Source organism: Homo sapiens, chromosome 3 (genome assembly GCF_000001405.40).
Source record: "Homo sapiens chromosome 3, GRCh38.p14 Primary Assembly".
Lineage (NCBI taxonomy): Eukaryota > Metazoa > Chordata > Mammalia > Primates > Hominidae > Homo > Homo sapiens.
Window position 1 is genome coordinate 109,383,177 of NC_000003.12, and position 14,855 is coordinate 109,398,031.

General features: G+C 44.1%; 1 pseudogene, besides 1 other annotated feature; it reads left to right on the forward strand.

Annotated features, from left to right (window-relative positions):
• Positions 12,623–13,429: an enhancer, noted in NCBI's record as "H3K27ac hESC enhancer chr3:109114646-109115452 (GRCh37/hg19 assembly coordinates)". NCBI's record gives its function as "activates a minimal SCP1, AML or CMV promoter by ChIP-STARR-seq in naive H9 embryonic stem cells {active_cell/tissue: H9 hESC(naive)}" and the evidence as "EXISTENCE:reporter gene assay evidence [ECO:0000049][PMID:30033119]".
• Positions 13,321–14,117, forward strand: RLIG1P2 (RLIG1 pseudogene 2; annotated as a pseudogene).

The following is a 14,855-nucleotide window of genomic DNA, read 5'->3' on the forward strand; positions in this document are numbered from 1 at the left end:
TAAACCAACTATTCTCTAAGCTCTAGGACACCTTCAAACAGCACATTCTGCCTTTTAATACAAGTATTTACACACTGATTTCAGTTGTAAAGAAATGAGAAACTTCAAGTATAAAAAGCTTGGGACTATGAAAACCAAGCGTTTTGTCTAAACATCTTTTGTTGTTGTTCTTGGTAAAAAAGAAGGCTTCGGGGCTGGTGGCACGCGCCTGTAGTCCCAGCTACTGGGGAGGCTGAGGCAAGAGAATCGCTTGAATCCAGGAGGTAGAGGTTGCAGTGAGCCAAGATGGTGTCACTGCACTCCAGCCTGGGCGACAGAGTAAGACTCCGTCTCTGGGTAGGGGGCGGGGAAAGGCTTTCAGAAATTTCGTAAAGTTTTAAGTTTGAAGCATCCTTTGTCAATAGCTCCCCTATCCTACCCGCAAACACATATGCACACACCCTACCACCACTGCCACTAAAAATTGAATAGAGAGTAAATGTCCCAGCTTAGCTAACGCTAGAGCAATTAAAATGTCATTAGATGCTAGACAGATTAATGGGGTTTTTTTTGGTTTGTTTTTTGTTTTTTTTTTTGAGACGGGGTCTCACTGTATCGCCCAGGCTGGAGTGCAGGGGCAAGATCTTGACTCACTGCAAGCTCCGCCTCTCGGGTTCACGCCATTCTCCTGCCTCAGCCTCCTGAGTAGCTGGGACTACAGGTGCCCGTCACCGCACCCGGCTAATTTTTTGCATTTTTAGTGGAGACGGGGTTTCACCGTGTTAGCCAGGATGGTCTCGATCTCCTGACCTCGTGATCCGCCCTCCTCAGCCTCCCAAAGTGCTGGGATTACAAGCATGAGCCACCACGCCTGGCCTTAGACAGACTAATGTTCATGCTAATGATCAACACAACGAGATTTGGGAATCAAGCCTTGCCCTCAACTATTCTGAAGTGGGCTAGTGCAAATGGACTTGGGCCCTGGAGCAGAAGTTGGGGCCAGGGGCCATGATGAGTGCTGGAATACATCACAGATATTATATTTTATTTTATAATTAAGTTGCTAGTTAAGTGGTGAGAGCCTGAGGCATGATTTAGAGTAACTGGTGATAGTTCTCTCTGGGAATGCTCCAGCCTGAGCTAACCTGGGGCATTTACTTTCTATTCCCTTTCAGTGGTGGTGGTGATGGGGTGTGTGTGCTGTAAAAGAAACTGATAATTTGGTTAATAGATAATTTTTGTAGAAAGCCATAAAATGACCTTGTGAATCTCTTCTGATTTCCAAAGGCTTCTGATTTGCTTTCATTCCTAGACGTCTAGTCATATCTCCTTTGTAGTAGTACTTCTATTTTTTTTTTTTTTTTTTGAGATGGAGTCTTGCTCTTGTTGCCCAGGCTGGAATGCAATGGTGTGATCTCGGCTCACTGCAACCTCCACCTCCCAGGTTCAAGTGATTCTCCTGCCTCAGTCTCCCTAATAGCTGGGATTACAGGCATGTGCCACCATGCCTGGCTAATTTTGTATTTTTAGTAGAGACGGGGTTTCTCCATGTTGGTCAGGCTGGTCTCAAACTCCCAATCTTAGGTGATCCGCCTGCCTCAGCCTCCCAAAGTGCTGGGATTACAGGTGTGAGCCACTGCGCCCGGCTCTTCTATTGTTTTTTTTTTTTAGAACTGAAATACATTTAAGTATAACTAAACATATGTAAAATATTATTCATGCTGTCTATTTTTTTTTTGAGGTGGAGTCTCGCTCTGTTGCCCAGGCTGGAGTGCAGTGGCGCGATCTCGGCTCACTGCAAGCTCCGCCTCCCGGGTTCACGCCGTTCTCCTGCCTCAGCCTCCCGAGTAGCTGGGACTACAGGCGCCCGCCACCATGCCCGGCTAATTTTTTTGTATTTTTAGTAGATACGGAGTTTCACCGTGTTAGCCAGGATGGTCTCGATCTTCTGACCTCGTGATCTACCCGCCTCGGCCTCCCAAAGTGCTGGGATTACCAGTGTGAGCCACTGCGCCCGGCCCATGCAGGCTATTTTTTTTCTCCTAGAATAGTGATTTAAAAAAAAAACTGAAAAATTAAAGTGAAAAGAGCATGGGCTTGGTAGCCAGACAGACTCGAGTTTGATTCTCCACTCCACCTGCATATCATGATTATTTACGGTTCTGGGGTGGGTCAGCTTTATGTTGGCATGTCACCAAGTTCAGAGCTTCTGTGCACCTTATTTTCATCTGTGTGTGTGTGTGTGTGTGTGTGTGTGTGAGAGAGAGAGAGAGAGAGAGAGAGAGAGAGAGACAGTGTTTTGCTTTGTCGCCCAGGCTAGAGTGCAGTGGTGTGATCTCGGCTCACTGCAGCCTCAACCTCCAGGCCTCAAGTGATCCTTCCGACCTCAGCCCTTGACCTCAGCCTCCTGAGTAGCTGGGATTACAGGTTCATGCCACTGCACCCAGCTGATTCTTTGTTTTTGTAGAGATAAGGTCTCACTATGTTGTCCAGGCTAATCTTGAACTCCTGAGCTCAAGCTATCCACCAACCTTGGCCTCCCAAAGTGCTGGGATTATAGACCAGAGCCACCACACCAGGCATTTTTATCATCTTTTAAGTCGCTATAAAAATATTTATCTTCCAAAGATTTTGATAAAAATTAACTCTAAAACACATAGAATTGCTCAAAGCAAATAGTAGAAGAGAAGTTTAGTTTTCTCATGTCGCTCTCTAACCCCATCTTTTGGTCTTACAAAAGATGCCCTGCTAACTTTCAAACCTTTCCTGGTGAGTTCAAGTCTCAGACGTCAATTGCCTCATTATAATTAGGCCCTCATAACCATTTATTATTTGGGAAACTCGTGGTCACTTTTTTGAGGTTTGGTTATTTATTTATTTTTTCACTGTGGCTTTCTTTTCATTTCTGCTGCCTGGCAGGACTGGGAGGAGATGGCAGTACCTGGCTACATGCCTCACATCCACTGGTCAAAGTATAGGCTTGTTCATAATGGATTCTACTGAGAAATACAGCAAACAGACTCTGTGTTCTGTGACTCCTGTCCCTTCATACACCCACCTGCATACTTCTAGTCATGGCTATGAAACTTGGTAGGCTATGAGTTTCTAGGTTTCTTTCTTTCTTTTTTATTGAGACAGGGTCTTATTCTGTCACCCAGGCTGGAGTGCAGTGGTGCGATCACGGCTCACTGCAGGCTTGGCTTCCCGGGCTCAGGTGATTCTCCCATCCTAGCCCCCTGAGTAGCTGGACTACAGAAGTGCACCACCACACTCGGTTAATTTTTTCATATTTTTGGTAAAGAGAGGGTTTTTGCCATGTTGCCCAGGCTGTTCTTGAACTCCTGGGCTCAAGTGATCCGCCCGCCTCGGCTTCCCACAGTGCTGGGATTACAGGTGAGCCACCACGTCCTTTTGTGTAAAGCTAATTAAGCGAGAGCAATAGAAAGAGTAATAGAGAAAGCATTCTCTCCCCCATCCCCATAAGTTATCACTTAATTAAAACTATTCCCATTTTCTAGATGAATAAATTGAACCTGTTGACAAACATGTACAGCTACTTTTAAAGCCATGGGAATGCCTTTAAACCTTAAGCATGTGCTCCATTTTTTTGGTGTTAAAACATAGCGCTCATGCCTGTAATCCCAGCACTTTGGGAGGCCGACGTGGGCGGATTGCCTGAGGTCAGGAGTTCAAGACCAGCCTGACCGACATGGTGAAACCCCGTCTCTACTAAAAACACAAAAATTGGCTGGGCGTGGTGGCGGGTGTAATCTCAGCTACTCAGGAGGCTGAGGCAGGAGAATCGCTTGAACCCGGGAGGCGGAGGTTGCAGTGTGCTGAGACTGCACCGTTGCACTCTAGTCTAGGCAACAAGAGCGAAACTCTGTCTCAAAAAAACAAAAACATAGCTACTTATATGCATTATCACAAAATGAAGTTGAGTACACTCCAGCTTGCACAGCCACTTTTAGTGAACTGTTTCAGCTTAGATCATAATTCCCTCAGGCTTAACTCTTTAGGTTTTAGCAGCTTAAATGTACACAGTATAGAGAAGGACTTTGTTTGGGGCTTGGAAAACAGTAAATCATTAGGCATCTTTAAAATGTTCAGAATATTTGAATAAATGCAACTGCACTGCAGCTTGCTAATGTAACATATTAGATGAACCCTAAATAACAACAACAGCTTGGAGAGACTCGAATGGTCCCTCTTTAATTTTGTTGCTGACACCTGGCAACATTTGGAACTATAAATAGAGTAGCAGGGAGGGGGAAGAAAGCCAAAGAGATTTCCTGTTGCTGTCTCAACACATAAAATGAGGTCTTTAAAGAAGAAGAAGAAAAATCACATCTGGAAAAAAATCAGGGGCCCATTCTACTAAAAAATGCACCTGCTATAGGCTCTAGCAGAGTATATTGTAGTTTAAACACCCTGAATTCTGGCTGGATTTGCAGGACTTGTCATAATTATGGGTGAAGCTGCAGGAAGCTGCTTAATTGTTCCAATATTAAAGCTTGATTTAGAGCCCCAAGACTTTAGGCTATAAAATTAGGGTGCAGGAGCACTGCCGCCTCTATTTGGATTTCCATTACCAATTATCCAATGTTGGATAAGGCAGAGGGAGTTGAACAAAGAAGGGAGGTAGAGGGTTACAAAATGGCCTTGACTGGGCCCTGGGTAAGGATCTAATTAGTGGTGTCAGCAAAGTAACCTATAGCCAGAGGGTATTCTAAAAATTCTGCTTAATAGATAGACTATTAAAGTTATTACCAGGCAGACAGAAACAGAATCTCTGCTTCTGTCTCATGTGAATTGGCTTCTTCCTTAATTCTCCCTCTTTCAGAAATCTAGGAATATATGAAGCAGAAATCATGACTTTTTGGTAGACTAAATCATCTGTTAGCAAGTGTGAAGGTGTCAAGAGCATAAACGGTGAAGGTTAAGCAGACTGCGCTTCAATCTCAGCCCTGCTTCCACTAGCCTTGTGATTTTTTTTTTTTTTTTTTTTGGACAGTGTTTCACTGTTGTCTCCCAGGCTGGAGTGCAGTGGTGAGATCTCAGCTCACTGCAACCTCCACCTCCTGGGTTCAAGTGATTCTCCTGCCTCAGCCTCCCAAGTAGCTGGGATTACAGGTGCGCGCCACCACGCCTGGCTAATTTTTTGTATTTTTAGTAGAGACGATTTCACCATGTTGGGCAGGCTGGTCTTGAACTCCTGACCTCAGGTGATCTGCCCCACCTTGGCCTCCAAAAGTGCTGGGATTACAGGTGTGAGCCACTGCGCCCTGCCTAGCCTCATGATCTTACTTAGGCTTCCCAAGTCTTGGTTTCCAAAAATCCCCACCTCATAAATATGCTGTGAGAATTAAATAAGATGATCCCCATCAAGAGCCTAGTGTAGTGCTGATGCTTAACCCCTTTTAGTTTCTTCCCTTCCCCTGAATACTGAGATATTTATTTTTTGGATACAGTTATTTAAGGGTTTTTTTTTTTTTGCTTTATTATTTTAACATTGCTATAATGCTAGAAGAGAAAAAAAAATCACATGTTTTCTTACACAGGGGAAACTCCAGCCATCTCAAATTTAGGAGTAAATTTAATGATGCACAGGTCTAAAACATTTCTCTATAGCCAAGTTTCTAATCCTTGTCTTGTACCAAAGGAGTCTAAGAGATTCAAGCATAATATTCAGCTATTTTAATAGGATTTCTAAGACTGTGAATTGGCTTATAATACAGGAAGCTCCTTCTTTTCATGCTAGGGTTGAAAGTCAACATTTTTTTCTTGAGGATTATAGGATTACCTTTTATACCGTATTTCATAAATTGTTATAAGAACTAGGGAACTCAATAAATGTTAAATAATGATATCAAATGTGAGTTTTCTTTTTTCTTTTAACACAAATGTATTAAATTGTCAATCTTCAAGTTTCTCTATCCAAGCCATTTATTCCAACTTAGTCTAGCAAAACAAACAAACAAACAAAAAAGTGAAAAATTCGCAAAATCCTTTATTTGCAAGTGGTCAAGTAAAACCAAATTGACACAGGTATCCCTCTAAACTAACTTGTGACATTTTCTCTGCACGTGACCCAGCCTGAGCAGGACTCTAGTTTCTATCAGTTTTCTTCTATTAACCTCTGATAGCAGCCTCCACACTAGTTTAAAGATCTCTTGCCCCAAATCAAATCTTTCCATGCTATGGAGCAGTAAAAGATTCTGTGTGACACAGAACTTTGCAGGGAAACCAGAAGAAAAGTGACATTTATTACCATATGTTATCAGTATCGAGACGCATTTAACATTTCCGAAATTGGAATGTGTCTAGGGCATCATATATGAAAGATTGTACCACCTAGGGCATCTTACATTAATTATTAGCTGGGGTAGATGTGACTAGTTGCCATTGCCCAGGTATGAGAGTCCTACATTATTAGGACTTGTTTCGCTCTTGTTGCCCAGGCTGGAGTGCAATGGCGCGATCTCGGCTCACTGCAACCTCCGCCTCCTGGGTTGAAGTGATTCTTCTGCCTCAGCAACCGGAGTAGCTGGGATTGCAGGCATGGGCCACCACGCCTGGCTAATTTTTTTTGTGTTTTTAGTAGAGATGGGGTTTCTCCATGTTGGTGAGGCTGGTCTCGAACTCCCAACCTCAGGTGATCCACCCGCCTTGGTCTCCCAAAGTGCTGGGATTACAGGCATGAGCCACGATGCCTGGCCGAGAGTCCCACATTATTATTCCTGGTGGGGTGACTGGAAAACTGCAACTCCTCAGCATTGCAAGCAATGGATCATATCAGGAACATTTGAGAATGACTATAAATCCTGGTTGTGGATTAGAAATCTTATACTGACTCACTTTATAGTGAGATCACAAAAGCCCCCAGAGATCACAGTGTTCTTTTGCTCTGACGGTATAATGGACAAAGTTGGTGGAACACCTTGAACATCAGTAATACTGAGTTGAAAAGTAATTCAGAAAATCCAGCCTGTGAATGTGAAGAAGTATTAGAAATATCTTGACCAATTTCGTTTACTTACATCTTCCTTTTAATAAAACACAAGAATGCATATAGATGGTATTTAAAGCCATCAGATAGAATGAGATCACCAAGGGAGTGAAGACAAAGGAGTAGGCGGGTGCAGTGGCTCACACCTGTCATCTCAGCACTTGGGGAGGCTGAGGCTGGTGAATTGCTTGAGCCCAGGAGTTTAAGATCAGTCTGGGCAACATGGTGAAACCCCATCTCTTCAAAAAATACAAAAACATTAGCTGGGTGAGGTGGCATGTGCCTGTAATCCCATTTGCTTGGGAGGCTGAGATGGGAGGATTGATAGAGCACGGGAGGTCGAGGCTGCAGTGAGCCATGATCAAGCCATTGTACTCCAGCCTGGGAGACAGAGTGAGACCCTCTCTCAAAACAAAACAAAACACCAGAAAAAAAACCCCAAAGGAGTTAGGTATCCTGAAAGCTAAGACAGAAAGCATTTCAAGAAGGGGAGAGGCATCAGGTTAGTCAAATGCTTCGATGAGGTCAAGTAAGATGACTGAGGATTGACTAGTGAATTTAGCCACATGGATGTTACTGATGACCTGATTGGTGCAGTTTGGTGTTTGCTGTGGGGTTGGCCTGATTGTAGTGGGATCTAAAGAGAATTCTAGGGGAGGAATAGGAGACTGGGAGTATAGATAATTATTTCAAAGAATTTTCATTTTTTTTTTTTTTAAAAGAAGGCTGGGCACGGTGGCTCACGCCTGTAATCCCAGCACTTTGGGAGGCCGAGGGGGGCAGATCACGAGGTCAAGAGATTGAGACCATCCTGGCCAACATGATGAAACCCCGCCTCTACTAAAAATACAAAAATTAGCTGGGCATGGTGATGCGCACCTGTAGTCCCAGCTACTCGAGAGGCTGAGGCAGGAGAATTGCCTGAACCCAGGAAGTGGACGTTGCAGTGAGCCAAGGTCGCGCCACTGCACTCCAGGCTGGTGACAGAGCGAGACTCTGTCTAAAAAAAAAAAAAAAAGAAAAAAAAAAAGAAAAAGAAGAGAAATGAGAACATAGCTAGAATAGAGGTAGCTTTGTTTTTGTGTATTGATAGAAAAACAGAATGTTGATAAAATTGTCCAACTGAGGCTGTGTGTGGTGGCTCACTCCTGTAATCCCAGCACTTCCGGAGGCCGAGGCAGGCAGATCTCCTGAAGTCTGGAGTTCGAGGCCAGCTTGGCCAACATGGCAAAACCCCGTCTCTAATAAAAATGGAAAAATTAGATGGACATGATGGCGGGAGCCTGTAATCCCAGCTATTCCGGAGGCTGAGACAGGAGAATCACTTGAATCCAGGAGGTGGAGATTGCACTGAACTGAGATCATGCCACTGCATTCCAGCCTGGGAAACAGAGCAAGACTCTGTCTCAAAAAATTAAAAAAGAAATTGTCCACCTGAAAGAGGAGAAAAAAAATTAGAGAGGAGAGATTTGCCTCGGCTGGCGCAGGTTGTAGTGGGCAAGTGGAAACATTGGGTTTCATAAGGAGCTACTAAGAATGCAGTTTTCAGACTTTCCAATCATGTTTTGTGCTATTCTCCTCCTGTTCTTCTCTTTGCCTGAGTCCATTCTGTCTTTCATTGATAGAAGCCCCCATTTTTATCTATTCAGTAAAGTGTTTCCTTTTTATCCCAGCTCATGAATTCATAGAGATCTCTCTTTCCTCTGAATTCATTGCTCTTGTAATCTGTTCCATTAAATTGATTATTAGTCATTTTTTTCTATGCACAGCTGTCTTTTCCATTAAATTGTAAGCCCCTTGATAGTAGAAATCATGCCCTGCCTATGGTAAGTACCCAGTAAAGCTCTCTGACTCTGTCTCTGCCACTTTCACTGTATATGATTTCCTTCCTTATAATCCCCTAAGGAGAAAAGCCTATTATTATTCTCCAGGTAAAGGTCCTTCATGTGTTAAAAAGTACTGTTAGACTGCTGGTTGGTCTCATCTTTTTCATTCTTTATTTTAATTCTCTGTTTTCATCTCTACTTTTTAAATTCTGTTTTTGGTTTCTTTTCTTTGGCACCTCTCCAGATACATGTCTTTTTCTTTTCTTTCTCCTTCTTAAATGTTCCTCCTTTGTTCCTTTATTCCTCTGTGAGTTTAACTGGGGAATCAAAGATCTGTGCAGAAAATGGGAACCCAGAACAGACTGAAGAGTAGCTGCTTTCTACCAGAGTGAGGACAAAGTGTGGGGGCGCTGACCAGATCGTGGAGGGGTGTGTGTGTATGTGTGTGTACGTGTATATATATGTGTATGTGTATGTGTGTGTATATGTGTGTGTGTGTGTATGTATGTGTGTATGTGTGTGTGTGTGTATGTGTGTATGTGTGGACATTCCAGGCAAAGGGAAGAATATGTGAAAAGGTACAGAGATAAAACCATGACATTTTGTCTCATACATAATTAGATATTTATTCTCTTGCCCTCAAATATTTGTTAAATGAATAAATCAATGAGTTAACTACTCTCATAATGATCAATCAATTTTTTTTTCTTTTTTTTTGAGACAGAGTCTCCCTCTGTCGCTCAGGCTGGAGTGCAGTGGTGCAATCTCAGCTCACTGCAACCTCCGCCTCCTGGGCTCAAGTGATTCTCCTGCTTCAGCCTCCCGAGTAGCTGGGATTACAGGCATGTGCCACTGCGGCTGGCTAATTTTTGTATTTTTAGTAGAGACGGGGTTTCACCACGTTGGCCAGGCTGGTCTCGAACTCCTGACCTCAAGTGATCCACCTGCCTCGGCCTCCCAAAGTGCTGGGATTACAGGTGAGAGCCACCATACCTGGCCTCAATCAATTCATTTTGGTTTTTTTTTTTTTTTTTTTGAGATGGAGTCTCGCTCTGTTGCTCAGGCTGGAGTGCAGTGGTGCTATCTTGGCTCACTGCAAGCTCCGCCTCCCGGGTTCACGCCATTCTCCTGCCTCAGCCTCCCGAGTAGCTGGGACTAGAGGCACCCGCCACCACGCCCAGCTAATTTTTTGTATTTTTTAGTAGAGACGGGGTTTCACCGTGTTAGCCAGGATGGTCTGGATTTCCTGACCTCGTGATCCACCCGCCTCGGCCTCCCAAAGTGCTGGGATTACAGGCGTGAGCCACCACGCCCAGCCACCAATCAATTCTTTTCTATCAGTGATGGCTAACCACTAGTTTCTTTCTATGTAAACACAGGCACAGGCTCATCTTTTATTTATTTATTTATTTATTTTTCAAGAAAGCTTTAGGGGATTTGGGATTGAGGGAAGAGAGAGACGCTCTCATATTGTTTTATATTGTTTTATACTCAGTACCTGTTTTAAGAAAAAACAACAAGGAAGTAAAACCAAAGACAGGCAGCCCGGCGTCAGGCCCGAAACCAGGCCTGGGCCTGCCTGGCCTAAACCCAGTAGTTAAAAATCAACTCATAACTTAGAAACCGATGTTATTCATAGATTCCAGACATTGTATAGAAGAACGCTGTGAAACTCCCTGCCCTGTTCTGTTTCTCTCTGACCACCGGTGCATGCAGCCCCTGTCACGTACCACCTGCTTGCTCAAATCAATCACGACCCTTTCATGTGAAATCTTTAGTGTTGTGAGCCCTTAAAAGGGACAGAAATTGTGCATTCGGGGAGCTCGGATTTTAAGGCAGTAGCTTGCCGATGCACCCAGCTGAATAAAGCCCTTCCTTCTACTACTCGGTGTCTGAGAGGTTTTGTCTGCGGCTCTTCCTGCTACAGGATAGCCCTTACTTTTTTTTTTTTTGAGACAAGGTCTTGCTTTGTCACCCAGGCTGGTGTGCAGTGGTGATCCTAGCTCACTGCAATTTCTGCCTCCCTGGTTCAAGCGATTCTCGTGCCTCAGTCTCCTGAGTAGCTGGGATTACAGGCGCACACTACCATGCTTGGCTAATTTTTGTATTTTTAGTACAAATGGGATTTCGCCATGTTGGCCAGGCTGGCCTCGAACTCCTGGCCTCAAGTGATCTGCCTGCCTCGGCCTCCCAAAATGCTGGGATTACAGGCTTGAGCCACTGTGTGCGGCCCAGGTTCATCTTTAGAATATGATTTTAGTTATAATCTGTTCACTACCCTAAATTCCCAAGCAGTAATAGTTAATATTAAGTAAACAAGTATGTGAGACAATAGAGCAGAGTGATAAAAAGTTTATACTCAGGATCCATATGCCAGTTCAAATCTCAACTCTGCCACTTGGCAGCTGGGTAACTTTTGGACAGATCGCTTATCCTCTCACCTGTTTCCTTCCTTGTAAAATGGAATTAATAATCATATATATTTCAGCAGGTGTTTACAAAGGTTCAATGATATAAAGTCTTTTAGTAATCCTAATCTTAAATCTAAATCTAAATTTAAATCAATATAAATCTTAATCTTATCTTCATTTTTAAAAAGATGAGTTAACTGAGGTTTAGAGAAGTTAAATAGCTTCCCCACAGCTATCCAGCTAGTAAACAGTTAGGGTTTGGTTCATCTTTACTACATAGTCTGTCCACTGTGCTGGCAGGAAAGACCCAGACAATAAAATAAGATGTCTCTACTAAGGCTTTTTTTTTTTTTTTTTGATGGAGTTTTGCTCCTGTTGGCCAGGCTGGACTGCAATGGCACGATCTTGGCTCACTGCAACCTCCACCTCCTGGGTTCAAGCGATTCTCCTGCCTCAGCCTCCCAAGTAGCTAGGACTACAGGTGCCCACCAGCACGCCTGACTAATTTTGTGTATTTAGTAGAGACGGTGTTTCGCCATGTTAGTCAGGCTCGTCTCGAACTCACGACCTCAGGTGATCAGCCCGCCTCGACCTCCCAAAGTGCTGGGATTACAGGTATGCGCCACCACGCCCAGCCTAAAGGCCTCTTTTTAACATAAAAAAGCAAAGCTGGAACTGAGGACACATAGCTGGTGGAAGTAAGGTGGTGTTCTTGAGGAAATGACTGTGGGGAGCAAATCTGAGGAGAGAGAAAGTTAATGGAGAAGTAAATAGAATGCCTGAAGGTTGGTGTTCACACAAGCTAAAGAAAAGAGGCAATTGTCAAGAAAGAAGAGGGTGATGAATGTTCCTCCCCTCTGGACTCAACTCACTTCTACTTCCGGAGCTTGTTCTTAGATGCACTGTCGGCTGGGCACGGTGGCTCATGCCTGTAATCCCAGCACTTTGGGAGGCCGAGGTGGGTGGATCACCTGAGGTCAGGAATTCGAGACCAGCCTGGTTAACATGGTGAAACCCGGTTTCTACTAAAATACAAAAAATTAGCCGGACCTGGTGGCGTGCGCCTGTAATCCCAGGTACTCCGGAAGCTGAGGCAGGAGAATTGCTTGAACCCGGGAGGCGGAGGTTGCAGTGAGCCAAGATCTCGCCATTACACTCCAGCCTGGGCAACAGGAGAGAAACTCCATCTCAAAAATAAATAAATAAATAAATAAACAAATAAATAAATAAATAAATGCACTGTCTTGGAAAACCTAAAGACAATATTCCCATTAGAAAATCAAAATTATTTTCAGACTCTCCTTGCCGAGTTACGACTTGGACACTGCATGAGGAAACAGAGCAGGATGGATGGCCTTGTTTCCAAGCCCCGTTTCCAATCTTCATTTCCAAGGATTTATTGCCATCATTTTTCTTGCAAATGAATAAATTATTTAATTATGCTGTCTAAGAATGGCAGAGCTATAAACCTTAATTATTCAACAATTTACCCCTTTAAAGTTGTTACTGGGACAATATTTTGATAATCTTCAGGAGCTATTCTGGTATCTCTACTATTCCTATATTCTTTGTTTTTTTTCTTTCTTTTTGAGATGGAGTCTCACTCTGTCGCCCTGGCTGGAGTGCAGTGGCGCGATCTCAGCTCACTGCAACCTCTGCTTCCCAGGTTCAAGCGATTCTCCTGCTTCAGCCTCCTGAGTAGCTGGAACTACAGGCACACGTCACCACACCTGGCTAATTTTTGTATTTTTAGTGGAGACGGGGTTTCACCATGTTGACCAGGCTGGTCTCAAACTCGTGGCCTCAAGTGATCCGCCCGCCTCGGCCTCCCAAAGTGCTGGGATTACAGGCGTGTGCCACCATGCCCAATGGTGTTTTGCCATGTTGGCCACGCTGGTCTCGAACTCCTGACCTCAAGTGATCTGGCTGCTTCGGCCTCCCAACGTGCTGGGATTACAGGCGTGAGCCACCGCGCCCGGCCTCTATTTCCATATTCTTAACCCTTCATTCATCATAATCCTGAAGGAGGAAGTCTAGAAAGAAAAAAAAATCGGAGGTAAGGTTTTGGGGGCGCGGGCTGCAGCTGTCGCTGGGCGCGTGGTGTGAGCGGTCTGAGCCTCCGGCTTACTTGCTCAGGGCTTTCTTCCCGCGTGTGCTTGGCGCTGCTCACAAACGCGCTCTCCTCTAGCACCGCCTGCTGGGCCGACCACGAGGCGCCTGGGCTCCGTGTAGCGGAAAATGCCGTGTGTTTCTAGGGAGGTGAAAAAGGAGCCCTCCACCGAAAGGCAGAATCAGCCATTTAAAGTTTTGGCAACGAAAACTGTAAGTCATGAGGCATTAGATGCAGGTATCTACAGTGCAATTCCAACAGAAAAAGTGGATGGAACATGTTGTTACGTTGCTACTTACAGAGATACCTTTCGGTTTGATTAGATAGAAAACCTAACAAACAACCTGTTAAAAGGTTTTAAAATTTTCTACATTCAAAAGAAAACTTCAAAGAATTTTCTTGGAATGTTGAGGAGTACTTCAAAGCTACTCCAGAGTGTTGGCTAGCAGCAAAGGAAACAGAAAAATTAAATAGGAATCTGGTCCATGACGAAACATGGACACATTCCTGGTGGGGCACCAGTAGAGAAAAATAACAAATAGCATTACTGGCATTCCTCTGTGGTTAATTATGAATTTGCAATTGATCTGGTACTAAAGCATCATCCTGAGGATCCTAGGCTTTTGGAAATTAGTGCCGTGCCATTATCAGATTTCTTGGAACAAACATTGCAGCTTATAGGAACAAATATCAATGGAAACCCATATGGGTTAGGAAGGAAGAAGCATCCACAATATGTTATACTACACGGACCATTTCAAATAAGAAACCTGCCTATATTGGGCCGAGCGTGGTGGCTCATGCCAGTAATCCCAGCACTTTGGGAGGCTGAGGTCGGCGGATCACCTGAGGTCAGGAGTTCGAGACCAGCCCGGCCAATGTGGTGAAACCCCTTCTCTACTAAAAATACAAAAATTAGCTGAGCGTGGTGGCAGGCGCCTGTAATCCCAGCTACTCAGGAGGCTGAGCCAGGAGAATCGCTTGAGCCCAGGAGGCAGAGGCTGCAGAGAGCAGAGTCGCACCACTGCACCACAGCCTGGGTGACAGAGCGAGACACCGACTCAAAAAAAGAAACCTGCCTATGTTGAAGCACAATGATCTGTTGTCCTGGTTTGAAAGCTGCAGAGTAGGTAAAGTGAAAGGAATAGTATGGGATTGCAGTGATGGCTGTTTAATTAAGGTCCATTACCATCGTCTATCCTCTTTGTTTACACTGGCCAATTGCAGATGTTTACATGAATTCAGAACCAGTAATTACCAATATGAAACTTAACAAATATGACTATGCTTTTGATACTGTTTAACAATTTTTTTAATCAGAAATTTAGTAGGCTTAAAGATGTAATACTTGACATATAAAATGCAAGTGCAATTAAAATTAGTTTTATTTATTTATTTTTTGGAGACAGGGTCACCCACGCTGGAGTGTAGTGGTGTAATCACAGCTCACTGCAACCTCGACTTCCCAGGCTTAAATGATCCTCTCACCTCAGCCTCTTGAGTAGCTGGGACTATAGGAT